Source organism: Homo sapiens, chromosome 7 (assembly GCF_000001405.40).
Source record: "Homo sapiens chromosome 7, GRCh38.p14 Primary Assembly".
Taxonomy (NCBI): Eukaryota; Metazoa; Chordata; class Mammalia; order Primates; family Hominidae; genus Homo; species Homo sapiens.
In genome coordinates, this window is record NC_000007.14 from 140372046 (window position 1) to 140398944 (window position 26899).

Consider the following 26899-nt stretch of genomic DNA (forward strand, 5'->3'; position numbering starts at 1 on the left):
TTCACCATGTTGGTCAGGCTGGTCTCAAACTCCTGACCTCGTGATCCACCTGCCTCGGCCTCCCAAAGTGCTGGGATTACAGGTGTGAGCCACTGCGCCCAGCCTAGTTTACAGAACTTTCAAAAATGTAATGGGCTGCTTCACAGTGTAGTGAATTTCCCCCGCAATAGACATCCCTGAGGGAAACGGAAAGGTAATTTCTCAAAGATACAGAAAGGGTTCTTCAATAGGATGGGAGATGGACCAGATCATAGCCCTCCAACTGTGGTCCACAGAACTAGGGGAGACAGAGAGGCCTCCAGAGCCTTGCTCCAAGGGGGTCTGCAAGGTCAAAATTCTTTGCACCACATTAAAATGTGATGTCCTTTCAACTTTGCTCCCTTCTGCACTGACAATGCAAGAGCAGTGGAGAGAAACTGCTGCACCTTAGCATAAACCAAGGTAGTAATGCCAAACAGCACTAGTGATCACCATATTGCTCACTGCAGCATGCTCACAATAAAAAACCAAAACAGGATTTTAAAAAGCCAATGTCGGCTGGGAGGGGTGGCTCACACCTGTAATCCCAGCACTTTGGGAGGCCGAGGAGGGCGGATCACTTGAAGTCAAAAGTTCAAGACCAGCCTGGCCAACATGGTGAAATCCCATCTCTGCTAAAATTACAAAAATTAGCCACGTGTGGTGGTGGGCGCCTGTAATCCCAGCTACTCAGGAAGCTGAGGCAGTAGAATTGCTTGCACTTGAGAGGAGGAGGTTTCACTGAATCGAGATTGTGCCACTGCACTCCAGCCTGGGTGACAGAGTGAGACTCTATCTCAAAAAAAAAAAAGCCAGTGTCACGTAAGACTGTCCTTCATGAAGCAGTAAAAATTTTTAATTTTATAAACTGTAGGCCTTGAGTACAATAATTTTTCTTTTTCTTTTGAGACAGAGCCTCACCCTGTTGCCCAGGCTGGAGTGCAATGGCGCGATCTCGGCTCACTGCGACCTCCGCCTATCGGGTTCAAGCGATTCTCCTGCCTCAGCCTCCTGAGTAGCTGGGACTACAGGCACATGCCACCATGCCCGGCTAATTTTTGTATTTTTAGTAGACACAGGTTCCACCATGTTGGTCAGGCTGGTCTCGAACTCCTGACCTCGTGATCTGCCCCACCCCCTCCTCGGCCTCCCAAAGTGCTGGGATTACAGTAGTGAGCCACTGCATCTGGCCAATAATTTTTCATATTCTGTGTGAGTAAGTAGAAAGTCTGCAAGAATCACTTCTGATACCAAAGCAGCTGGAACATATTTCGACTTGAAAGAATGACTGAGAAACTAGTTATTCAGATTTGGGTACTTGGCATCTATTTCCTCAAAAATGAATGAAACGAGCCTGTCACTTTAAAGAACCAAAGAACAACACAAATATGTCTTAATGCAAGAGTATTCCAAAGTGCACTGATACAGTTTCAGATTCCATCACTGGAACTAACTTTTAAGAAATTATCACTTATCAAAATTTCACTGTAGTACCAAAGACAAATGAACATCCACAATTAACTGAAAAGGCTACAAAAACACTTCTCTCTTTTCTAACTTCAAACCTGTGAAAGGCCAAATTTTCTTCCTATATCTCAAAGAACTTTTTTTTTCTTTTTTTTTTTTTTTGAGATGGGGTCTCATTATGTCACCCAGGCTGCTCTTGAACTCCTGGGCTCAAGCGATCCAGCATTAGCTTCCTGAGTATTTGGGACTACAGACACACTCCACCATGCCCAGCTAAAGGATCTCTGAATAAACTCCGCAACACACTGAATTCAAAGGAGACATGAAAACCCACTATCTCCTATTAACAGACACGAAGTGATGTGCAAAAATGTAAAACAATGCCACTCATTATTTTGTTTTGAAAAAGTCATTTTTCAGAAGATGTTATTTATGTTAATACTTATTGGCTTATTTAATTCATTAAAAAGCAATCCCAAAAACTCCAATGTATTTTTTAAATTCTCAGCTTTAATTTCTAAACTAGTATCTATAGATATAAACCCATATAACCAAAAACATTTTGGGGTGCTATGACCAAAAAGCTAGAAAATCCTTGAACTAAATCATTTCTGAGGTACTTACTAATTATAATATCCTGGCATTTCTGAGATGGGTTGTTACAGAAAGAAATTTTGATTTTAGGCCAGGTACGGTGGCTCACGCCTACAATCCCAAGCACTTTGGGAGGCCAAGACAGGTCGATCGCTTGAGGTCAGGAATTTGAAACCAGCCTGGCCAACATGGCAAAACCCCATCTCTACCAAAAAATACAAAAACTAGCCGGGCGTGGTGGCATGTGCCTGTAGTGCCACTACTCATGAGACTGAGACGGGAGAATCACTTGAACCCAGGAGGCAGAGGATGCAGTAAGCTGAGATCGCGCCACTGTACTCCAGCCTGGGCGACAGAGCAAGACTCAATCTCAAAAAAAAAAAAAAAAATGAATTTAGATTTTAGAATATTAAAGAGGCCGGGTGCGGTAGCTCATGCTTATAATCCAACACTCTGGGAGGCCCAGGCAGGACGATCCCTTGAGGGCAGGAGGATCCCTTGAGACCAGGAGCTCGAGACCAGCATAGGCAACATGGTGAGACCCCCACCATCTCTACAAAAATAAAAATAAATTAGCTGGGCATGGTGGTGCACACCTGTAGTGCCAGAGTACAGTGTCTGAGTACAGGAGGCTGAGATGGGAAGATGGCTTGAGCCCAGGACTTCAAGGCTGCAGTGAGCTATGATCATGCCACTGTACTCCAGCCTGAGCAACAGAGCAAGACCCTGTCTTAAAAAACAAGGCCAGCGCGGTGGCTCACACCTGTAATCCCAACACTTTGGGAGGCCGAGGTGGGGGTATCATGAGGCCAGGAGTTTGAGACCAGCCTGGCCAATATGGTGAAACCCCATCTCTACTAAAAATACAAAAATTAGCCAGGTGTGGTGGCACGCACCTATGGTCCCAGCTACTTGGGAGGCTGAGGCAGAAGAATCGAAGAATCGCTTCAACCCAGGAGGCAGAAGTTGCAATGGGCCGAGATTGTGCCACTGCACTCCAGCCTGGGTGACAGAGCAAGATTCCGCCTCAAAAAAAAAACAAAAAACAACAAAAAAAAAACAGGCTGGGTGCAGTGGCTCCTGCTTGTAATCCTAGCACCTTGGAAGGCGGGGGCGGGTGGATTGCCTGAGCTCAGGAGTTCAAGTTCGAGACCAGCCTGGGCAACACAGTGAAACCTCATCTCTACTAAAATACAAAAAATTAGCCAGGCATGGTGATGTGCACCTGTAATCCCAGCTACTCCGTAGGCTGAGACAGGAGAATCACTTGAACCTGGGAGGCGGAGGTTGCAGTGAGCTGAGATAGCGCCATTGCACTCCAGCCTGAGCGACATAGCAAGACTCCGTCTCAAAAAAAAAAAAAAATTAAATCTAAAAGAATATTAAAGACAAAAATCACAATCAGCAATTTTAAAGAAACATCTTTATTTTTAATCCATGTCAAGTGAATAATGTGCCCACGTTGTAACAAGGTTCAAGGGTGGCACATCTCACACACGTGTGTGAATACTCAATAATCCAGCTTACGAACTACGAAAGAATCAAAGAAATGTATCTTTAACAAAAAATAAAATCCCCAAATCATAAACAAATAATAAAGTGTGATTCCAAAGCACCGGAACTAATTTCTAAGTGGCCTCTGGCACCAATCTGGTTACTTTAATGCCACTTCACACATACTGTGAAGATGCATTCTATCGAAGATGAGAAAGCAGTGCAGGCTCACACAGCTGACATCAAACAGTCTTTTCAGCAATGCCAATTTGGGGCCCTAAATGTCTTCAATTAGAGTGACATTCCCACATTTTCCCTGCAACCGCAGTGTTCCATCCTTGTGTGCCCACCAGACTCATCAGGACCCATGATTAAGCCCTGCTGGGTACATGCACCAGTGTGAGCTAGAGACAAGGAACTTAAGCAGCTGCTCAAAGTTGTAGGTTTCCTTTACTCCTCCAAGAAGTTACCAAAAACTCCCTGAAGGTGTGGCTTTCACAAGAATTAACAGATTTTAAACAGCTTTTTTCTGCTTCACTGCCAGAATTCAGTTGAAATACACTTTTTGACTGTTGACTTAAATGGAAAACAAAACGAAACCAAAAACTAAAAGAACAAAGTAGGACTAACAAACAGATTCAGGAAACAGGGTAACAGAAAAAAAGAAGAAAATTAACAATAACATTGCTCAGATCAGTATGACTATACTACTCGGTTAGAAATGTTCCAAGTATTCATAGTGAACCATCCCATGTTTAATGAAAGTCACCAACACAACTAAGTCAACATGCTAAATGTGATTCAACCTGGTCTGAGCGTACGTTTGATGTGAACTTATCAGCCTGAATGTACTGCAGGGTTTTCTTGTATTGTGCTGGGGGGACTATATAAGCTACTACACTTGCTCGATGTTGAGGTACTTCCTGTGCACACACTAAAGTTCCCTGTGTGAGTTTCCCAGGTGAGAATGTTTATAACAGAATAAGGGCTATCCAGGGGGGCAGGGGAGGCTCACAGACATGGAAGGGCTTCCTCAAAGTGGTGAGCAGAGGATGGATGACAGGCCAACTTATGCATGAAGTTCTTTGCATAAGGCGAGCAGAACACGTTTATGTGGGAATCTGCCAAGTAGCTGTGCATAAGGTTGAGATGGAATGTCCAAAGACACTTTTTGAGACAGGGTCTTGCTCTGTCACCCAGGCTGGAGTGCAGTGGCACAACCATGGCTCACTGCAGCCTTGACCTCCAGAGACCAAATGATCCTCCCACCTCAGCCTCCTAAGTAGCTGGGAGTACAGGTATGTGCCACCACACCCAGCTAATTTTTTTTTTTTTTTTTTTTTGAGACAGAGTCTCACTCTGTCACCCAAGCTGGAGTACAATGGCACGATCTCGGCTCACTGCAAACTCCACCTCCTAGGTTCAAGCCATTCTCCTGCCTCAGCCTCCCAAGAAGCTGGGACTACAGGCATGCATCACCATACCCAGCTAATTTTTGTATTTTTAGTAGAGAATGGAATGTCGCCATGTTGGCCAGGCTGGTCTCGAACTCCTGACCTCAAGTGATATGCCCGCCTCGGCCTCCCAAAGTGTTTTTTTTTTTGTTTTGTTTTTGTTTTCATTTTTGTAGAGACGGTGGTCTCTCTATGTTGCCCAGACTAGTCTCAAACTCCTGGGCTCAAGCAATCCTCCTGCCTAGGCCTCCCAAAGTGGTGGGATTACAGGCCTGAGCCATCGCACCTGGCCCAAGACACTTTAAATTCTCCTTCCTTCTCCTGGAGATAATTTTAGATTCTCTAGCACTATTCTCATGTAAGAACTGTACAAATTTTTATTATAGTTTTTAGCTGAGTTGTTCTCAAATATAAGATCTAATGATTATTATCTATAGACATAGACTTTATGTTATTATGTTTACTCACTATTTCCAATGTTTGTCGATGTCAGTGAACCCATTATAAATTCTAAAGGTAACTGTGTCTACTGAACTCTTTTTGTAAAACACCCAGAGCTATGCATAAAAATGAAAGCTATAAAAAGTACTTTTTAGGATGCTATTTAGAGCACTTAAGAAATGTTTTTCTGTTTAATTTTTTAACTTTTAAAAATATATAAGCAAAATATTTTTTTAGCTGGCCATGGTGGCATACACCTGTAGTCCCAGCTACTCAGGAGGCTGAGGCAGGAGGATCGTTTGAGCCCAAGAGTTCAAGTACGGCCTGGGCAACATAGCAAGAGCCCCGTCTCTTAAAAAATAATTTAAAAAAAATTTTTTTATTTAAAATTAATGAGAGAGGCCTCTGGGAAGCTTGGCCTGGCCTCACGCCAGGCCGGCCTCTTCCCTTTGCTGAGTTTACCTTGTATCCTCTCACTGGAATAAATGACAGCCACACGTACTCTATGTTGAGTCCTCCTAGTTAATCACCAAACTAGGGGTGGTCTTGGGAACCCCCAACCCAGTTACCTTAAAAATAAAGGCAGCCTTAGGCAGTACAACCAGAAATCTAGTGCCTAAATGAAATCCTATTTTTCTGTATATTGTTCAGGCTGTACCTGAAATCCCACAATTAGTGCTCAGTGTCACTAAACTACAGCTGAAGGAGCCAGGAATGTTTTGCCTAAACAGAAACTTAGGGAGACAGGGAGGAATTTTCTTCAAAAGTTGAATAAAAATGTAAGCATCCACCTCACACAACAGTGAGTTTCTTCTGCCTGGAACTACTGAAGCAGAAGCTGGATGATTATCTTCCAAGAATGACAAAGAAAGATTCCAATCTGGGAGGTTAGGGTACGTGATCTCTCTAAGACCACTTCCATCTTTAAGATTTATGATTCTGGGCCGGGAGCGGTGGCTCACACCTGTAATCCCAGCACTTTGGGAAGCCGAGGCAGGAGGATCACGAGGTCAAGAGATCAAGACCATCCTGGCCAACATGGTGAAACCCTGTCTCTACCTAAAAATACAAAAATTAGCTGGGCGTGGTGGCATGCGCCTGTAGTCCCAGCTACTCAGGAGGCTGAGGCAGGAGAATCGCTTGAACCCGGGAGGCGGATGTTGCAGTGAGCCGAGATCATGCCACCGCACTCCAGCCTGGCGATAGAGCAAGACTCCATCTCACAAAAAAAAAAAAAAAGATTTATGATTCTGGCCGGGCGCAGTGGCCCACGCCTGTAATACCAACACTATGGGGAGGCCGAAGCAGGCAGATCACTTGAGGTCAGGAATTAGACTAGCTTGGCCAACATGGCGAAACCCCTTCTCTACTAAAAATACAAAAATTAGCCAGGCTTGGTGGTGCATGCCTGTAATCCCAGCTACTCAGGAGGCTGAGGCAGGAGAATCGCTTGATCCCAGGAGGTGGAGGTTGCAGTGAGCCGAGATCACGCCTGACTTCAAGGCACGTAAGCAAGATACAAACAAATGAAACAGGCTGGGCACAGTGGCTCCTATCTGTAATCCTAAAACTTTGGGAAGCCAAGGAAGGAAGATTGCTTGAGCCCAGTTCAAGACCAGCCTGGGAAACACGGCAAGACCCTGTCTCTACAAAAAAATTTAAATTAAAAAAAGAAACAGGCCAGGCATGGTGGCTCATACCTGTAATCCCCACACTTGGGGAGGCCGAGGCGGGCAGATCATGAGATCAGGAGATCGAGACCATCCTGGCTAACATGGTGAAACCCCGTCTCTACTAAAAATACAAAAAAAATTAGCCAGGCGTGGTGGCGGGCACCTGTGGTCCCAGCTACTTGGGAGGCTGAGGCAGGAAAATGGTGTGAACCTGGGAGGCGGAGCTTGCAGTGAGCTGAGATCGCACCACTGCACTCCAGCCTGGGCGACACAGCGAGACTCTGTCTCAAGAAAAAAAAAAAAAAAGAAACCATTAGAAAATATTGAAATACCAAGACATTACAATATGCAAGACAGTGTACAAGAGTTTAGTGAAGGGAAAAATCAGAAGTTGGGAAAAAACTTGATTGAAAACGTGGCATTTTACCCAGGCGTGATGGCTCACATTATAATCCCAACCCTTTGGGAGGCCAAGGCGGGTGGATTGCTTGAGCTCAGGAGTTCAAGACCAGCCTGGGCAACGTGGTGAAACCCCATCTCTACAAAAAAAAAAAAAGATTAGCTGGGCATGGTGGTGCGCGACTGTAGTCCCAGCTACTCAGGGGGCTGAGGTGGGAGGATCGCTTGAGCCCAGAAGGTGGAGGTTGCAGAGATGTTTTCTGAGAGATCGTTCCACTCCAGCCTGGGCAACAGAATGATACTCTGTTTAAAAAAAAAAAAAAAAGTGATATTTTATCTTGACACAAAGAGAAAGGCAAACTTTAAATAGGTGGAAAAGGGCAAAAGAGCACATAAAAGATAATGTGCAAAATCTCAAAGACAGAAACGAGCACAGCACTAACGAAAGCCAGTGAAAAAACAGCCTTGTCAAAAGGTGTGATTTCTCAACAGTTAGAAACAAGCCGGCTGGAGAGGTAAAATGGGACTGAGTCAGAGCAGGCTTTGAAATTAGAATAGTTTGGCTCTTATGTGATAGGAAACAGTGAGCCATTTCAGAGTCTAGGCAAGTAAAAGATGCAAAAAAGAGCTTAAGAACAATCTAGGGGTGGGCACGGTCTCCTACTTCGATCCATCCCAGCACTCTGTTCTGCTTACCTCCACAGGCAGCTCAACTGACGTGTTAAAAGCACTTGGGGTCCACTGCTCAGAGATACTGACTTTGACATTGCTAAATGTTTTTCGTGAAGCATGGAGCAACGAATAACTACAAAATAGAGAGAATACAGATGAATGAATAGCAAAGAGAAACAGCATTCAATAAAATCACAGGTATAGGCCCATTTCTTTTATTCAATTTTATTTTATTTTATTTGGTGGGCAGCCACCTGAACCAAAATAGATTCAGAGAGGCTCTCTCAATTTTATTTCTTTTTATTTTTTGAGACAGGATCTCGCTCTGTCACTCAAGCTAGAGTGCAGTTATGATCATAGCTCACTAGGCTTCACCTCCTGGGCTCAAGCCAGCCTCCCAGCCCAGCCTGAGTAGCTGGGATTACAGGGGCACTCTACCACGCCCAGTGCACCTGTCATCTTAGCTACTTAGGCTACTCAGGCTACAAAAATTTCTGTATTTTTTGCAGCGACAGAGTCTTGCTATGTTGCCCAGGATGGTCTCAAACTCCTGGGCTCAAGCGATCCTCCCACCACTTGGCTTCCCAAATTGCCAGGATTATAAGCATGACACTGAACAATTTTAGAATTCTTCTTCTTCTTTTTTTTTTTTTTTTTGAGACAGAGTCTCGCTCTGTTGCCCAGGCTGGAGTGCAGTGCTGTGATCTCAGCTCACTGCAAACTCAGCCTCCTGGATTCAAGCCAATTCTCCTGCCTCAGCCTCCCGAGTAGCTGGGATCACAGGCACGTGCCATCACGCCCAGCTGATTTTTGTATTTTTAGGAGAGACGGGGTTTCACCATGTTGGCCAGGTTGGTCTCGAACTCCTGACCTCAGGTGATCCACCCACCTCGGCCTCCCAAAGTGCTGGGATTACAGGCATGAGCCACCGTGCCTGGCCAAGAATTCTTCTCTTTAAAAAAAAAAAAAGGATGAGCCAAGCACGGTGGCTCACGCCTATAGTCCCAGCACTTTGGGAGGCTGAGGTGGGAGGATTGCTTGAGCCCAGGAGTTCAAGACCAGCCTAGGCAACATAAGAAGACTTCATCTCTACAAATAATAATAATAAAAAATAATAATAAGCCAGGCATGGTGGCTCATGGTTGTGGTCCCAGCTACTCAAGAGGCTGAGGCGGGTAGATCATTTGATCCCGGGAGTTCGAGGCTGCAGTGAACCGTGATCACACCACTGCACTCCAGTCTGGGCGACAGGGTGAGATCCCATCTCAAATAAATAAATAAATAATCATTATTTCTGGCGCCTTTCATAAAGATTAATAAACAAAATCTACTCAGCAGAAATGTCAAAAAAAGCTGAGTAACAAGGTCACTTACAGCATGCCTCTAACACCCAATGGCCTGATGTATGCTATGTTACTAAGAGAACCACTTAAGATCACCTTTGTTCTCCAGCTCCTGCTTTTAACAAATAGAGGACTTCTCTCTCCAAACAGGGTGATGAAAATAAACGCCTGTAATCCCAGCACTTTGGGAGGCCGAGGTGGGCAGATTACGAAGTCAGGAGATTGAGACTATCCTGGCTAACACAGTGAAACCATCTCTATTTAGTAGCCGGGCATGGTGACACGCACCTGTAATCCCAGCTACTCGGGAGGCTGAGGCAGGAGAATAGCTTGAACCCAGGAGGCGGAGGTTGCAGTGAGCTGAGGTCATGCCACTGCACTCCAGCCTGGGCGACAAAGTGATACTCCGTCTCAAAAAAAAAAAAAAAAAGTGAGATATGTTTTTTAAAAAAAAAAAAGTACAAAATAAAAAAAAAAATAGATCAGGGCTTCTCCGCCTCCACACTGTTGACATTTGCAGATGAAACGTTCTTTGTTGTGGAGAGCTGTCCTGTGCATGGGAGGACGTTTAGTAGCATCCCTGGTCTCCACCACTAACTACAAGTAGCATTCCTCTCCCCTCATGACCACCAAAACTATCTTAGACACCGCCAAATGTCCTCTGGAGGGCAAAACAGCCCTCCAGAACTACGATATTACAGCTATCAAGACTACAACAGAAGGAATAACTAACATTATAAGTGTATGCCCATCAGTGCATTTGACACTTGCCATGCAATATCTCCCTCAAAAGAAAAAAGAAAAAAAGCAGGAGAGCAGCTTTGGCAACATGCTTACCTGAAGAAAGTGAGCAGGAACACTACAACATGATGATGGCTGAACTGGGACAGCAGAGACCCTCTTTGAAAAACATTTGGCCAGGCCATGTTCTTCCTGACCTTCCTTCTCACCTTTGACCTTAAGGTTTGGATGAGTGATTTACATCATTTCTTCCTTCTGGAAAGACAAAACACATTATGGACATTATTAAACATAGGCAGAGTATCCAAAAACTGTATTATTTAGATTTACAGTCACCATATAATCAGGCCTTGTGGGAAAAAAATCTTATGGCCTAGTTGACACCAGAAAACTGGATTAGTAATTATGTTAAAGCTATTAGGTAGTTCTTAAAAAAAAAAAAAAAATCCTGGACAAAAGATTATATCTTAATAGAAAGAGCTCATACAAACTGATAAGAAAATCACTCATTCTTATAGAAAAAATGAGCAAAGGAAATAGACAACTCAGAAGAAATGAAATGGCTATTAAACTTGAGAAATAAAAGTTCAATCCCACTAGTAATATTAGAAATGTAATTAAGGCAAGAAAGCGTTTGGATAGTTAAAGAAGATTGTGCTCAATGCAGCTCAGGGTATAATGGTTCCTGAACTCCCATATGCTACTGAAAGAAGTAAAAATTAGTATAATATCATAGGAGGACAATCTAGCCATGTTCATCAAGAGTGTTTGACACAAAAATTCAATTTCTGGGCTGCTCTCTCTATGCAGTAGCTGCCCTTTTATTCCTTTACTTTTGAATAAGCTTGCTTTCACTTAAAAAAAAAAAAAAGAATTTCCAGGGATCTATTCCTTAAAAAATACAGATGTGTTTAGGCCTATAAACAAAAGTATTTTTCACAAAGTGTTGGAGGAGATTTTTAATATTAAAAGAAAGAAGGAGCTGGGCACAATGGCTCACACCTGTAGTACCCCAGCTACTGGAGAGGCTGAGACAGGAAGATCCCTTGAGTCCAGGAGTTCGAGGTTACAGTGAGCTATGATCACGCCACTGCAGTCAACCCTGGGCAACAAAGTGAGACCCCTGACTCTAAGCAAAACAAAACAAAATGATTAAATACAATGTTCTAAATGATCTTCTATTGCCTTGAGGTGAGGTCCCACTGCAAGACTCTGGGCAAGCTGCCTAACCCCTGTCTGCCCCCCAGTATCTCCCCAAAATGAAAAAATTTGTGTCAAAGAAACAGAGAAAGAGGTCAGGCCACCCCTTGCCATCTCCTTCCACTACTTCCAGTGGCTTTTTTTTTAATTTTTGAGACAGGGTCTCACTCTGTCACCCAGGCTGGCATACAGTGGCACGATCTCGACTCACTGCAACCTCCGCTTCCCAGGCTCAAGCGATTCTCCAGCTTCAGCCTCCCAAGTAGCTGGGACTATAAGCATGAGCCGCCATGCCTGGCTAATGTTTATATTTTTTGTGGAAACATGGTTTCATCATGTTGCCCAGGCTGGTCTCGAACTCCTGAGCTCAAAGTGATCTGCCCACCTTGACCTCCAAAAGTGCTGGGATTACAGGCATAAGGCACTGTGCCTGGCCCCAATGCCTTTTCATTTGACTGTACTCTCTAAAAGCTGCACCCATGCTCTGATATCCAAGAACAATTACGCATAAAGTAAGCAGCTAAACTTAATGTCTCCAGTTATGAGTCTGCAGAACCAATCCAAATATACAACAATAGGGGAATAATTAAATAAATTATGGTATGTCTGAATGGCTGAATCATTTATAATCATTTGTCACGAAGACTTTTTAATGACATGAGAAAATGTCAAGTGAAAAAAAGTGGGAGCCGGTTATAAATCTAATTAACTGTGTTCACATAATACTTACAAATAAATAGGGAATATAGTAGTTCTCTCCGGGTAGTGAAATGATGGATAATTTTAATTTTCTTCTATATACTTTCTTAAAAAGCCTATAATAAACATCTATATAATTTTTATAATGGAAGGGAAACACCCACAGCATTAGAAAAGTACTATATTTTAGGCTGGGCATGTTGGCTCATGCCTGTAATCCCCACACTTTGGTAGGCCAAGGTGGGAGGAACACTTAAGTCCAAGAGTTTGAGAACAGCCTGGGCAACATAGTGAGACCCCATCTCTACAAAAACTAAAAAAAAAAAACAACAGCCAAGCGTGGTGGCTCATGTCTATGGTCCCAGCTACTCAGGAGGCTAAGGCAGGAGGATTGCTTGAGCCCAGGGGTTCAAGGAGGCAGGGAGCTATGATCGCACCATTGCACTCCAGCCTGTACCACAGGGTAAGACCTTGCCTGCCCCCCGCCGCACCAAAAAAAGTAATGTAATTTATCCTCATATTCAAGGGAAAAAATCCACAAAATGGCTTGTATGATAAATCTACAACAGTAGTCAAGGTAGGGAACACATTCAAGAGCTCCAATACTCAAGAAAGAATCACAGGGCTTGGCTCTCAGATCTATGTTCACTGGAACTGTTACACTACTTATTTTCACTAGCCACAGCTCAACAGATGCACCCAAACCTTAAAGACTAAGAGACCCAGCAGAAAGGCCATTCTTGCAACTTGTAGATAAAAGAAACAAAGTTGAGGTGGTTACAATTATGTACACATGACAGTTGTTTTCCTTACTAGCTGTTAGCCCCTGGGACAAGCCATGCTCTATAAATCATAAGTGGTCATCCATAAAATGGCTTATTTCATTTGAGAGTTGTAAGGCTAAAAGTAACAATGTATGTGACATATTCAGATAATTATATTAGCCACTGATCTGCCAAGGATTAATTCCAAATCAGTAGAATTTAGCTAATTTCATTTTAAAGTCATTCTTCTTGGGAAATGTTAATAAAATTACATGCAGAGTAGGACTATAAAATTCCACTCACAAAATGTAAATAAACTTCCTGTCTGTAATTCCAGGAAGTTACAAAAACAAGAACTACTAGTGTTATGACTAAATTTACTTCCATCCTGAAAATTAAACATGAAACCCAAGTGGAAAAACTCAAAACTTTAATCATTCTCTATGAATCGTAGCTCTTTGAACTGGACACCTTCCCACCTCAAAACACTGTAGTATGTACTCCAGGAAAGGGCATGGGATATGAAATTCAATGATGTATCATGTAAAATCATAATTCCAAAAATAAATGCTCCAACAGATTGAAATTACAGTACATTGGCAATAGAGCTGCATAACCTAGGGCTGTACAGTTATATTAATAGCTTTAAAAAACTACCAAGACATTTGAGGCCATTTGGATGTAGTTTCTAAATAGACCATCTTTTCCTAAGCTATAATGATTGGGGAGAAAAGGCTTAATAAGCACATTGGAAAAGTAGGCTTTATTTTCTTCTTTCTTTTATTTATTTATTTCTGAGACAGAGTCTGGCTCTGTTGCCCAGGCTGGAATGCAGTGGCACGATCTCGGCCCACTGCAACCTCCAACTCCCAGGTTCAAGAGATTCTCCTGCCTCAGCCTCTCGAGTAGCTGGCATTGCAGGCGCCCGCCATCATGCCTGGCTAATTTTTGTATTTTTAGTAGAGACGGGGTTTCACCATGTTGGCCAGGCTGGTCTCGAACTCCTAACCTCAGATGATCCACCCACCTTGGCCTCCCAAAGTGCTGGCATCACAGGTGTGAGCCACCATGCCTGGCCTTATTTATTTATTTATTTATTTATTGAGACAAGGTTTCACTTTGTCACCCAGACTGGAGTGCAGTGGCACAACCTCAGCTCACTGCAGCCTTGACCTCTCAGGCTCAAGCAATTCTTTGGGAATACAGGCGCACATGCCACCACATCCAGCTTATTTTTTGTATTTATGTTAAGTCAGGGTTTTGCCATGTTGTCCAGGCTGGTCTTGAATTCCTGGCCTCGGGGAATCCTTCCGCCTCAGCCTTCCAAAGTGCTGAGACTACAAGCGTGAGCCACCTCGCCCAGGAAAATAGTTTTAAACATTCACCTGCTGTGTGCATAATGACATTTAAGACGAATACTACGACATTTGGTCCTATGCAATTACAATAATAATAATAATAATAATAATAATACCTTGCACATGTATCCTATCTATCACAGAAGTGATTTCCAATCATCCATGAGCTCAGGGACCCTGGGGTGTACAGGAGTTTTTGTCAAGTCTGAGTCCATCAAGCACATCCTACTTTTTGAAGAATACTCTCTTTACCACTCTAAATACACACTGAACAAATGTGTAACATTTTTCAAGTATGTGTAAATGCTGTTATAATTAATAAAACCAAATTTCAAAACCAAATTTCATTTCAGTGTTTCTGAATTCACTGTAGCTTGTCATTTAGTATTTTCTCAATCGGTGAATTTTTATTTTTTAAAGCCTACAGCACCCGGTATTCCCAGGCAGTGTCCCACCCAAGCACTAACCAGACCCCACCATACCTAGCTTCCAAAGTCAGACAAGGCAGGCCATGTTCAGGGTGGTATGCAGGTATGGTTGTAGACTCTATTAATGAATACTGAATACACAATTATCAACCGATATTTGTCAGCAACAAGAATTTTAACATTATAGTATTTTTAATTGACAAATACAATTATATATATTTATCATGTACAACACATTTTAAAATATGTGCACATTGTGGAATGACTCAATCAAGCTAGTTAATAAATCCATTACCTCACTACTTATTTTTTATGGTGAGAAAACTTAAAATCTACTCTTTTAGCAATTTTCAAAATCGAGTACATTGTCATTAACTATAGTCACCGGTAGGGCACAGTGGCTCACAGTGGCTCACAGGCCTGTAATATCAGCAATTTGGGAGGCCGAGGCGGGTGGATTGCTGGAGTTCAGGAGTCTCAGACCAGCCTGGGCAACACAGCAAAACCCCATCTCTACAAAAAAATACAAAAATATTAGCCAGGTCGGGTGCAGTGACTCACACCTGTAATCCCAGCCCTTTGGGAGGCCAAGGCAGGTGGATCACTTGAGGTCAGGAGTTCGAGACCAGCCTGGCCAATGTGGCGAAACCCCATCTCTACTAAAAATACAAAAAATTAGCCGGGCGTGGTGATGCACGCCTGTAATCCCAGCTACTCGGGAGGTTGAGGCACGAAAATCACTTGAACCTAGAAGGTGGAGGCTGCGGTGAGCTGAAATCACGCCACTGCACTCCAGCCTGGGCAAAAGACTGAGACTCCATCTAAATAAATATATATATTATATAAATATAAATATATATATTATATAAATATAAATATATTATATATAAATATATTATATATATTATATAAATATAAATATACTATATATATTATATAAATATACTATATATTATATAAATATAAATATATTATATATATTATACATAAATATAAATATATTATATATATTATACATAAATATAAATATATTATATATATTATATATAAACATATATATATTAGTCGGGTGTGATGGCACAAGCCTATAGTCCCAGCCACTCCAGAGACTGAGATGGGAGGATCACCTGGGAGTTAGAGGCTCAGTGAGCCGTGATTGTGCCACTGCACTCCAGCCTGGGTGACAGAGTGAGGGCCTGTCTCAAAAAAGCAAAACCTATAGTCACCATATTGTACAATAGATCTCTTCAACTTATTCCTCCTAACTGAAATTTTGTATCCTTTGGCCAACATCTCCCCAAACCCCCATTAGAATTATTTTAAAAGACAAAAAAAAAATCCTTGTTAAAAATAAGATTCTGGACAGACATGGTGGCTCATGCCTGAAATTCCAGTAATTTGGGAGGTCGAGGTGGGAGGACTACTTGAGCCCAGGAGTTTGAGACCAGCCTGGGAAACATGGCAAAACCCCGTTTCCAGAAAAAATACAAAAAGTAGCCAGGTGTGGTGGTGCGTGCCTGTAGTCCCAGCTACTCAGGAGGCTGAGATGGGAGAATCACTTGAGCCTGGGAGGTAGCGGTTTCAGTGAGCCGAGATTGTGCCACTGCATTCCAGCCTGCACGACAGAGTGAGACCCTGTACCAAAAAAAAGAGAAAGGATTCCTTTGCTTCCATTCTCTCCAGAAAAAAAAAAAAATACTGGCAAGATTCTTGCCATCAAATAAAATCCAGAAAACCATTGGCCAGGCATGGTGGCTCACGTCTGGAATCCCAGCACTTTGGGAGGCTGAGACAGGAGGATCACGAAGTCAGGGGTTCGAGACCAGCCTGGCCAACATGGCGAAACCCCGTCTCTACCAAAAATACAAAAATTAGTTGGGCGTGGTAGCGGGCGCTTGTAATCCCAGCTACTCAGGAGGCTGAGGCAGGAGAATCGCTTGAACCTGAGAGGCAGAGGTTGCAGTGCCAAGATCATGCCACTGCACTCCAGCCTGGGCAACAAGAGCAAGACTCCATCTTTAAAAAAAAAAAATCCAGAACCATTAAGCCATCTTCTACTTTCCAAAGCAAGTTCACAATCACTAACTTGTGATTTTTATAGTGAAGTTTTTCTTAGTCCTAGAAGACTACCCATTAAAAATGGTAATTTCCAGAATGGAACACAATAGTGAAACCGCCTTTGCAAAACTATAACTGAGGAAATTATGACAGTGAAAGAAATCAGAACTAACTGGCTCTAGCTTGCTTTTAACCCTTAAGGAAGGTCCTTGTTCATTCCTGGGCATAGGCTGAACTAACTTTAGGAAGGAATTCAGTTCATGGTTTGACACTGAAACAAAACTGATAACAGACCCCCTTCTTGCCTGGGGTCCAGTCTGCCTCTGCAGGACTAACGAATTAGCTACAAGATTAGAAATTACAATTTAGGGGTCATGCAACCTCTGGGGTCTGAACCTCCCCAAATTGCTCCTGGGGATAACATCACTATTGTAAAACCTAAGATCAGTGCTGGAGATATTTTGTAGACCCTGCACTCGATAGATCAGCCGACACCACCCAGACCGGTAATCTGGCTCAACCAGCTCTGCCATCCCACCAGGGAACAGAAGACAGAGAGAAAGACTCACTTCAGCCCCCAGTGACTCCTTCTCCAACCTGACCAATCAGCACTCCCTACTTCCCAAGCCCCTACCCGCCAAATTATTTTTAAAAACTCTGATCCCCGACTGCTCGGGGAGACTGATTTGAGTAATAATAAAACTCCCATCTCCTGCAAAGCCGGCTCTGTGAGAACCACTGTTTTGCCATTGCAGTTCCCCTGTCTTGATAAATTGGCTCTGTCTAGGCAGCAGGCAAGGTGAACCCACTGGGCGGTTACAATAGTGCGCAATCACTGCTAAGTAAAAGATGACTTCGCACTGCAGCAACACGTCCAGGTGGAAGGCAACGCTGCCTTCTACAACGCTGCTTTGGGATATAAAATTTCCCCCAATTATTATTTCTAATTTCACTTTCTATAGTGGTATTTAGAGTCCTTTCCAACCCAAATTCAAAGCTGTTCTTCAGAGGCCAAGGCAAGAGGATCATTTGAGGCCAGTAGTTCAATATCAGCCTGGGCAACAGACCCCGTCTCTACAACAAATTTAAAATTTCGCCAGATGGGGTGGCATGCACTGTAGTCCTAGCTACTGGGGAGGCTGAGGCAGGAGGATCACTTGAGGCCAGGCCTTCAAGGCTACAGTGAGCTATGATGATGCCACCACAGTCCTGCCTAGGTGACAGAGGAAAATCCTGCCTCAAAAAACAAAACAAAACAAAAAAACCCAACTGTCTCGTATTAGGAACTCTCTGAAGAAAGTCTACTGCAGAGTGGGCAGGGGAGTGGTCAGCAGTAAAAGAGATGACATACATGAAGCTACCACATACCCACTCTGCCCCATTCATCTCATCTGCCCAGTCTTCCCACACACCCCACCCCCAGCCCTTTTGACCATGCTCTCTGGAAACAGAGATACACGGTTAGCAAGCCTCGTATCTTTCCTCTCTAGAAACCTAGTTACATGGTTAGCAGGCACTATATCCTCACAAGACTCCGGGTGCTCCCTATACCTTCACTTCCCCTAAGGCCTTTCAAGAGGTGCAATCTTCCCTCCCCCAACCTACATGCCTCAAGGACACAAGCGTTCCATGTTCTCTTTGTTCCCCAAGGCCGTTTCTGGGCCGCTCTCTTCTTGCCAAGACCCCAGCTTCTTTGAAACTCACACCTTGGGGCTCTATAGCCTGCTGTTCCCCATAGATGTCAGGGACTGATCTCCCTCGCACTCCCGTCCCATGGTCACCCAACCTCCATCCCCACCGCCAGGTGGATAAGCTCCCTCCTGGGCCTTTTCAGTTCCGGTTCTCTTCACCACCACCCTTCTCCTCCATCCCCCAATAAAAACCCACACAAGGCTGAAGCCTGGTAGCTGGATTTCAAATCTTCTACTTCCTTTCCTTGCAGATCACTTACCTGAATATACCACACCTCAACAGTCATCTGACCTCAACAAGGCTCCCAATTCAGTAGCCTTGTTTTTCCCTCATCCATCCCCCTCCTGTCCTCATTTCCTGCCTTACCAACTTAGAATCTACAGTGCCCTTCCTTGTCTCTGTCCTCCTCCTTCCCTGCACCAAAGCAGCTGAGTTTTGCCACAGAAAAATCACTCAAGCAGGCTGATTTCACTTTTTAGATTCAAAACCACAAACCTCAAAGGGCATGCAACACTGCCCAGCAAGCCTACCACACTTCCCAGTAATTTTGCTTTCTCAACCTGTGACAGCGATTTCACACTTCTCTTTTTAAACTTCCAACATCTTTCTCTCCTCCTTCCTCTGGTATCATACCTTTATGTCAACAATTCCCAGATTCATGGCTCTAACTTAGACCCTCCAGGATCCAAATGACCAATTAATATCCCTCCAAAATCTAAAACAGAACTCTTAGGCCAGGCACAGTGGCTCATGCCTGTAATCCCAGCACTTTGGGAGGCCAAGGCAGGAAGATCACTTGAGATCAGGAGCTCGAGGCTAGCCTGGCCAACATAGTGAAACTCTGTCTCTACTAAAAATACAAAAATTAGCCGGTTGTGGCGGCGTGTGCCTTGTAATCCCAGCTACTTGGGAGGCTGAGGCAGGAGAATCACTTAAAACCGGGAGGCAGAGGTTGCAGTGAGCCGAGATCAGGCCACTGCACTCCGGTCTGGGCGACAGAGTGAGACTCCATTTCAAAAAATTAAACAATAAGATAAAACACAACTCTTCATTTCTCCCTCCAAATCTATCCCTCCCCTGTGGAGTTCTAATTAGAGAAAAAGGAGTCAGGCTGGTGGGATCAGGGGAAACTAAAAAGAATAAGCAGATAAACTATAAGTCTGCCTTTCTTCGTGGTCCAGGACATATACCCCTCCTGAGCAAGTAACTCACAATCTTCCTGCACCCAGTAATCACCAGACACTCAGCTGATAGAAAAATGCAAGTTAGCTCAATGCAACCTTATTGTTATCTGTACTGCACAAAGCCCTCTTCAGCACACAGCACCATCCTATAAAATCTCCAGCAAGCTTTTATCTCCTTGCAGTCAGCTCCTCTCTTGCTGACCTGCCTGTTGCTTCCTTGCAAACATACTCTCAGACCTTCTCTAATAAATCTGCCTTTCTATACCTATAACTGTCTTGGTAAATTCTTCTCACTGCCTACACCACCAGCCCAGATAGTCACTGATCACCTGCAACATTTTGGTGGCCTGTATGGGGAACTCTCCTTACGGAAAACCCTCTCCCCTCCCTTTCTCTTTCCCAACTTGGAACTCTCAGTGGACAGCATCTAAGCAGGAAGATAACTGAAGGTCCTGGCTGGAGCTATACTCCAGTGGGACTGAAAGGTGTCCGTGTAACCTCCACCAGCCCAGATAGTCGCTAACCACCTGCAACAACCCTTGGTATTCCCTATCTCAGCAAAGGTACTGCCATTCCTTATAGTCAACCAAGGTAACTATGAGGTAGCCTTTACTTCTTTTCCCTTAACTTCTACATCCAACCCATTACTAAATCCAGTCCTTTTCACCTCCAAAATATATCCCAAATCCCAGCCTCCAGATGGATAAGCTCACTCCCCAGCCTCTCGGTTCTGGTCCTCTTCACCGCCACCCTCTTCTCTCCATCCTCACTGCCACCGCCCTAAGATAAACCACCAGCAGCATCTCCTACCTGCCTACCTTGACAGCTTCTGCTTAAAACCCTTTACTGCCTTCCCAAGACTGAGACAAAAAGACAGATTCTTTGCCACAGCCTTTAAAGCCTGTCTAACCTCTGCAGGTAAATAGGACGCTTAGGGCTGGGGAGGGACAGGGCTGACAGATGGGTTGGTACAGATGGAGGAGGAGCCTGCCTGAGCCAATATCTAAACTGCAGAGGTTGGGTTTTGTTTTATTTCATTACTTTTCAACTGGTATTATATGCCTAAGGTATAAATCAAAAGATATGGCTGGGTGCAGTGGCTCACACCTGTAATCTCAGCATTTTGGGAGGCTGAGGTGGGCGGATCACCTGAGGTCAGGAGTTTGAGACCAGCCGGGCCAACATGATGAAACTATGTCTCTACTAAAAATACAAAAATTATCCAGAAGCAGTGGCATGCGCCTGTAATCCCAGCTACTCAGGAGGCTGAAGCAGGAGAATCGCTTGAACCCAGGAGGTGGAGGTTGCAGTGAGCTGAGATCGCGCCACTGTACTCCAGCCTGGGTGACAGAGCAAGACTCCGTCCCAAAAAAAAAACTCAAAGGATACAACTTCCTCCTGTGTCCTCAGTCCACCCTGATCTCCTAACCAGTTTCTTTCACATCTTCTCTCTTTCCTTCAGGGGCACAATCTGTGCCTCTGCACACATACCAGGCAGAGCCCCCAAGATCACACATGCAAGCACACAGCACACACTATCTGTTGTGCATTTTCTTCACTTGCCAGAGGTTGGAGGTCCATCCATATCAGCACCTGCAGAGCTGAACACGTGCGCCGTCCTCACTGACATGAAGGAATCTTTAGATATTTAACCAGGCCCCCACTGGGCAGCTGGGTGGTTCCCAATCCTTTGCCAGGCCGCCTGGTGAGGATCTAGCTTGTCTCCTTTCTACTGTGCCCACCTACCTCCCACCCTCACCAACACCAACTCCCCACACCAAATCCCTCTCCTGTCCCTGAACCCATCAAGCCTCCTCTTGCTTCGGGCTTTGTGTTTGTTCTTCCACGAGAGGAGTGTTTTTGTCCTGCTTCTTGGCAAATGGCTTGCTCCTTCCTTTTCTTGGCTAGTCAATGAAATGTCACCCCCTAGAGTGAGCTCCCTGATAACCCTATCTAAAATGGTCTCCCCTGGTTACTACCTCTCTCATCTCTTTCGCCATTTCTTTCCTTCAGAGCATCTCTCCCAGTTATCTGGTTTAATTGTTTCCATGTCTACTGTTCATCTGTAAGCTCCATAAAAGCAGTGGCTCTCTGTGTCCTGAGTCTCACAGCCACATCCACAGGACCCAGCAGAGCACTGAGAACGATCAATAAAGATTTTTTGGGCCGGGCGCGATGGCTCACACTTGTAATCTCAACAGTTTGGGAGGCCAAGGCAGACAGACGGCTTGAGCCCACGAGTTCGGGACCAGCCTGAGCAATATGGTGAAACCCTGTCTCTACAAAAAATACAAAAATCAGCGGGGCATGCTGGTGCACACCTGTAGTCCCAGCTACTCGAGAGGTGGAGGCGGGAGGATCGCTTGAACCCGGTAGGTGGAGACTGAAGTGAGCCAAGGTTGCACCATTGCACTCCAGCCTGGGCAACAGAGTGAGACCCCATATCAAAAAAAAAAGTTTTTTTTTGAATCAATGAATTGGTTGACTGACAGCAGAACACTGAATGCTTACAAAGTACTAGGCACCATGCTAGGTACCTACCATGCATTACTGCATTTAGTTCTCTCAATGTTTTACAGATGAGAAAACAGATATTAGAAAGTAATCTCTAGGTCTGGTCCAGTGGCTCACGCCTATAATCCCAGCACTTTGGGAGGCCAAGGTGGGAGGATCACTTAAGCTCAAGAGTTTAAGACCAACCTTGGCAACATAGGGAGACCTCATTCATCTCTACAAAAAATACAAAAATCAGCCAGTTGTGGTGGCGGACACCTGTGGCCCTATCTACTTGGGAGGCTGAGGTGGGAGGATCACTTGAGCCTGGGAGGCTGAGGCAGCAGTGAGCCATGACTGCACCACTGCACTCCAGCCTGGGCGACAGAGCGAGACTCCATCTGAAAAAAAAACAGGGTCTCGCTCTGTCGCCCAGGCTGGAGGGCAGTGGCGTGATCTTGGCTTACTGCAACCTCCGCCTCCCAGGTTCATGCGATTCTTCTGCCTCAGCCTCTTGAGTAGCTGGGACTACAGGCATGCACCACCACGTCCAGCTAATTTTTGTATTTTTAGTAGAGACAGGGTTTCACCATATTGGCAAGGCTGGTCTCGAACCCCTGACCTCGTGATCCGCCTGCCTCAGCCTCCCAAAGTGCTGGGATTACAGGTGTGAGCTACTGTGCCCAGCCCTCATAAAATTTTTTAAAAAAGAAAGCAATCTCTCTCAAACGATGGAGTGCACATTCCAACTCAGATCTAATTCTAGATCCTATGTTATATCATTTAAGGGTAAAGGTTAAAATAGAAAATACTCCAAGCTGGATAAAATACAATAGTTAGAACTATCACACCCTTCATGCATTAAAAAAGAGCTATAAAGCCGGGCACAGTGGCTCATGCCTGTAACCTGAACACTTTGGGAGGCCAAGGCAGGTGGATCACGAGGTTAGGAGTTCAAGACCAGCCTGGCCAAAATGGTGAAACCCCGTCTCTACTAAAAATATAAAAATTAGCCAGGTGTGGTGGTGGGCACCTATAATCCCAGCTGCTTGGGAGGCTGAGGCAGAGAACTGCTTGAACCCGGGAGGCGGAGGCTGCAGTGAGCTGAGATGGTGCCACTGCACTCCAGCCTTGGTGACAAAGCGAGACTCCATCTCAAATTAAAAAAAAAAAAAAAAAAAAAAAAGAGCTATAAAAAAATAAAAATAGGCTGGGTGCGGTGGCTCACACCTGTAATCCCAGCACTTTGGGAGGCCAAGGCAGGTGGATCATTTGAGGTCAGGAGTTCTAGACCACCCTGGCGAATATGGCGAAACCCTGTCTCTACTAAAAACACAAAAATTGGCCAGGTGTGGTGGTGGGTGCCTGTAATCCCAGCTACTTGGGAGGCTGAAACAGGAGAATTGCTTGAACCCAGGAGGCGGAGGTTGCAGTGAACCGAGATCCCCCTACTGCTCTCCAACCTGGGCAACAGAGCAAGACTCTGTCTCAAAAAATAAATAAATAAATAAATAAAAGAACTAGCACACCTAAACTCAGAGGTATATACCAAGGATGGGGAAAAAAAACATCTTACTGGTAAGAGTGGTTCTCTTACACACTCAAAGGAGAGGGGCATTAGATGGGCAATTACTCACCTCCCAGACTTCAGTTTTTATGTCTGCACAGTAAAAAGATTATGTGTTTTCAAAGTGTAAAGAAGAATGTGGGAAATTATTAAATGTATAGTTGAGTTCACCATTTTTACAGTATTGTATATGTTGCAGTTTAGCGTCTCAATGCTCACACTCATACAACTATCTTTTTTTTTTTTTCAGAGACAGGGTCTCACTCTGTTACCCAGGCTGGAGTGCAGTGGCGTGATCATAGTTCACTGCAGCCTCAATCTCCTTCCTAGGTTTAAGCGATCCTCCTGCCTCAGCCTCCAAAGTTGCTGGGACTACAGGTGGGCACCATCACACCTGGCTAATTTTCTTAGTTTTTGTAGAAACAGGGTCTTGCTATGTTAACCAGTCTGGTCTTAAATTCCTGGCCTTAAGAGATAGATCCTCCTGCCTCAGCCTCCCAAAGCCCTAGGATTATGGGCATGAGCCACTGCACCCAGCCACAAGTATCTTTTTTATCCCACATTATCTCATACGAAGCCATTTACTTGAACCTCATAAATCCTTTTTATTCATTAATTCATCCGTCTTCCTGTAATTTTTATCTCTTCTTAAATTATCTCATTACCACAGGCATAAAATACTTGGCATTTATCTGTAAATATCTCTCATTTTATTCCAGGGTTTCCAAAACCACATTCTTCCTCCCTGTTTTTGGACATGTTCCAAAGACAACTAGTTTTCAAGATAAAAATCTTTCCCTCTTCTACCAAAGGATTTATAATCAAGTTAATGGTCACTGCAGTGACATGACATTAACACTGATGAACAGAGCACAAATCAGAACCTTAAACAATGAACAAGGCAGTTGATCCTGACAGCTAGAAAGCAGCAAGATACTGTTGACTTAACTTTTATAAAAGTATTGTTTCCGGGTCACCTTCTTAGGCAGAGACTCGAAATCAAACACTAATAGAAGAATGGTGTCATTCAAGAGACAAGCCAGGTATGGAATCTAAGACCCTCCACTTAAAAGTAGCTTCTCTGAATCTCAATTTCTGTTTTTTTTTTTGTTTTTTTTTTTTTGACAGAGTCTGAGGCCGGGCGCAGTGGCTCACGCCTGTAATTACAGCGCTTTGGGAGGCCAAGGCAGGCGGACCACGAGGTCAGGAGATCCAGATCATCATGGCCAATATGGTGAAACCCCGTCCCTACTAAAAATCCAAAAATTAGCCTGGCGTGGTGGCGGGCGCCTGTAGTCCCAGCTACTCGGGAGGCTGAGGCAGGAGAATCACTTGAACCCGGGAGGCGGAGGTTGCAGTGAGCCGAGATGGTGCCACGGCACTCCAGCCTGGGCGACAAGAACAAAAACTCAGTCTCAAAAAAAAAAAAGACAGAGTCTGGCTCTGTCACCCAGGCTGGAGTGCAGTGGTGTGATCTCGGCTCACTGCAACCTCCGCCTCCCAGGTTCAAGCGATTCTCCTGCCTCAGCCTCCCGAGTAGCTGGGATTACAGGCATGCGCCACGACGCCCAGCTAATCTTTGTATTTTTAGTAGAGACGGGGTTTCACCATGTTGGCCAGGCTGGTCTTGAACTCCTGACCTCAAGGAATCCACAGGCCTCGGCCTCCCAAAGTGCTGGGATTACAGGCATGAGACACCGCGCCCAACCCGAAGCTCAATTTCCTCATGTATTAATTAAATGAGATAATTTATATGGAGTTCTTAGTATAGAGCCTAGTATCCAAGAAACATCAAACAAACTGAAAAGAAATCATTTAAGCACCAAAGCACTGAAGACATTCCCTTCAACAACTGTTATATATATTTATGTATGTATAAATTTGTGTAAAGGTAGAAATAAACCGGTGGACAAAAAGATAACAACTGAATGATTTTGCTCACCCCAGGAACCACTCCTCCCTATAAACTATAAACTTTTCAGTAAGAGTTACCACGAGATAGCCTACCATCTTACATTTCAAAAAAACACTAAAAACTCCGGGGACACATTCCCATTATCTCCTGTCAAAACTGAGAATAAACAGAACACACCCTGCGAAGAATAAGGAGGGAATGACGAATAATTTGACCAAATTCCTTGACTGAGTTCATGCTAGTTACCAGAAAACAAAACCAGTCACTCACTGAGACCACGCTTCTTCTCTGACCTCTATACATCCTTTCCAAAGAGCTTCCTTCCCCACCTACCTGAAAAGCATCCCCTCTCCCCTGGTCCGAACGACAAGCCCTTTTCTGATCAAGTCAGAATCTCCCAGACCCACGGCCGGAGGACAGGCGGGCGAGGAGCACAAAAGCCTCTGCCGCATGGATCGGGGCCGGGCCGCAGGGTCCCCCGGGGGTCCTTCTCCTCCCCATCCACCCCATCGCAGCCTCCCCGTGACGGCCGGGACCCCAGGCCCGGGCCCAGGGAGGAGAAGGAGGGGGCGAGCGGCCGACCCTGCCTGGGCGCCCCACCCAAGGGGGGCCGCCACCTACATCTCCCCACCGCCCTCCCGACCCGGGAAGCCCCTCGGATTGGACCCGCCCCCGCCCCAGCAGGTCTTCGGCCCCACGCATCACCGCTTGCGCACCCGAGATCCGCAGTGGTCGCCGCTCTCCAGCCCCGGCTCCGCTCGCCGGGTCAGCTTGGCTCCGCTGCCCGCCTCCCCCGCCGCCAGCTCACCCCTGGCGGTGCGACCAGGGTTTCCGGACGCCCACGTGACCCTCCCGTCGCGGGGCACGCTGGGAGTTGTAGTCCCGCCACGCGGCCTCACCTGCCGGCGCGGAGGAGGGCGAGGAGGGCGGAGGCTGGGAGCCCACAGAACTCTGCTGCTGCGGACCTGGCCAGTAATGTTAGCTGCAAAAGACGAGAGGTAGAGAGAAGAAATGATATGGGGAGAACTGGTGCATCCTTTTTTTTTTTTTTTTTTTTTTTTTTTCAAAAAAGCGGTATTCGGTCTTTGTTTTTATAAAAAGTAACGTGCTGCTAAGTGTGCTACTGACCGGCCTAAATTTTAGGTGTCTAATTAAATGCAGGCCGGGCACAGTGGGCTCACGCCTGTAATCCAACACTTTAGGAGGTCGAGAAGGGAGGATCACTTGAACCCAGTAGTTCAAGAC

The 26899-nt window shown here is 44.9% G+C and overlaps 1 protein-coding gene, 1 non-coding gene and 1 pseudogene across 18 annotated transcripts in view, besides 6 other annotated features; all 3 read right to left on the reverse strand.

Annotated features, from left to right (window-relative positions):
* The window catches only part of SLC37A3 (solute carrier family 37 member 3), a 64779-nt gene extending 38294 nt beyond the window's left edge, over positions 1-26485 (reverse strand). For all 17 annotated transcript variants that reach the window (NR_156492.1, NR_156491.1, NR_156490.1 and 14 more), the window contains exons 1-3: positions 26371-26485; positions 10393-10551; positions 8237-8345 (exon numbers count right to left, since the gene is read on the reverse strand). Coding sequence is in view for 13 of the 17 variants with exons in the window: in XM_047420950.1 (XP_047276906.1) it covers positions 8237-8345; positions 10393-10481 (198 nt within the window). In the remaining 4 variants the exon portion in view is untranslated. The remainder of the gene's footprint in view (positions 1-8236; positions 8346-10392; positions 10552-26370) is intronic.
* Positions 3518-3621, reverse strand: LOC124901838 (small nucleolar RNA U13). Its single transcript, XR_007060674.1, has one exon. It is a non-coding gene; the product is annotated as a small nucleolar RNA U13 (small nucleolar RNA).
* Positions 4129-4248: an enhancer, noted in NCBI's record as "active region_26779". NCBI's record gives its function as "activates an Ori minimal core promoter by ATAC-STARR-seq in GM12878 lymphoblastoid cells {active_cell/tissue: GM12878}" and the evidence as "EXISTENCE:reporter gene assay evidence [ECO:0000049][PMID:35858748]".
* Positions 14736-14862, reverse strand: RNA5SP248 (RNA, 5S ribosomal pseudogene 248; annotated as a pseudogene).
* Positions 17962-18463: an enhancer, noted in NCBI's record as "H3K27ac hESC enhancer chr7:140089807-140090308 (GRCh37/hg19 assembly coordinates)". NCBI's record gives its function as "activates a minimal SCP1, AML or CMV promoter by ChIP-STARR-seq in naive H9 embryonic stem cells {active_cell/tissue: H9 hESC(naive)}" and the evidence as "EXISTENCE:reporter gene assay evidence [ECO:0000049][PMID:30033119]".
* Positions 18464-18963: an enhancer, noted in NCBI's record as "H3K27ac hESC enhancer chr7:140090309-140090808 (GRCh37/hg19 assembly coordinates)". NCBI's record gives its function as "activates a minimal SCP1, AML or CMV promoter by ChIP-STARR-seq in primed H9 embryonic stem cells {active_cell/tissue: H9 hESC(primed)}" and the evidence as "EXISTENCE:reporter gene assay evidence [ECO:0000049][PMID:30033119]".
* Positions 18672-18791: an enhancer, noted in NCBI's record as "active region_26780". NCBI's record gives its function as "activates an Ori minimal core promoter by ATAC-STARR-seq in GM12878 lymphoblastoid cells {active_cell/tissue: GM12878}" and the evidence as "EXISTENCE:reporter gene assay evidence [ECO:0000049][PMID:35858748]".
* Positions 26023-26292: a silencer, noted in NCBI's record as "silent region_18710". NCBI's record gives its function as "represses an Ori minimal core promoter by ATAC-STARR-seq in GM12878 lymphoblastoid cells {active_cell/tissue: GM12878}" and the evidence as "EXISTENCE:reporter gene assay evidence [ECO:0000049][PMID:35858748]".
* Positions 26403-26632: a silencer, noted in NCBI's record as "silent region_18711". NCBI's record gives its function as "represses an Ori minimal core promoter by ATAC-STARR-seq in GM12878 lymphoblastoid cells {active_cell/tissue: GM12878}" and the evidence as "EXISTENCE:reporter gene assay evidence [ECO:0000049][PMID:35858748]".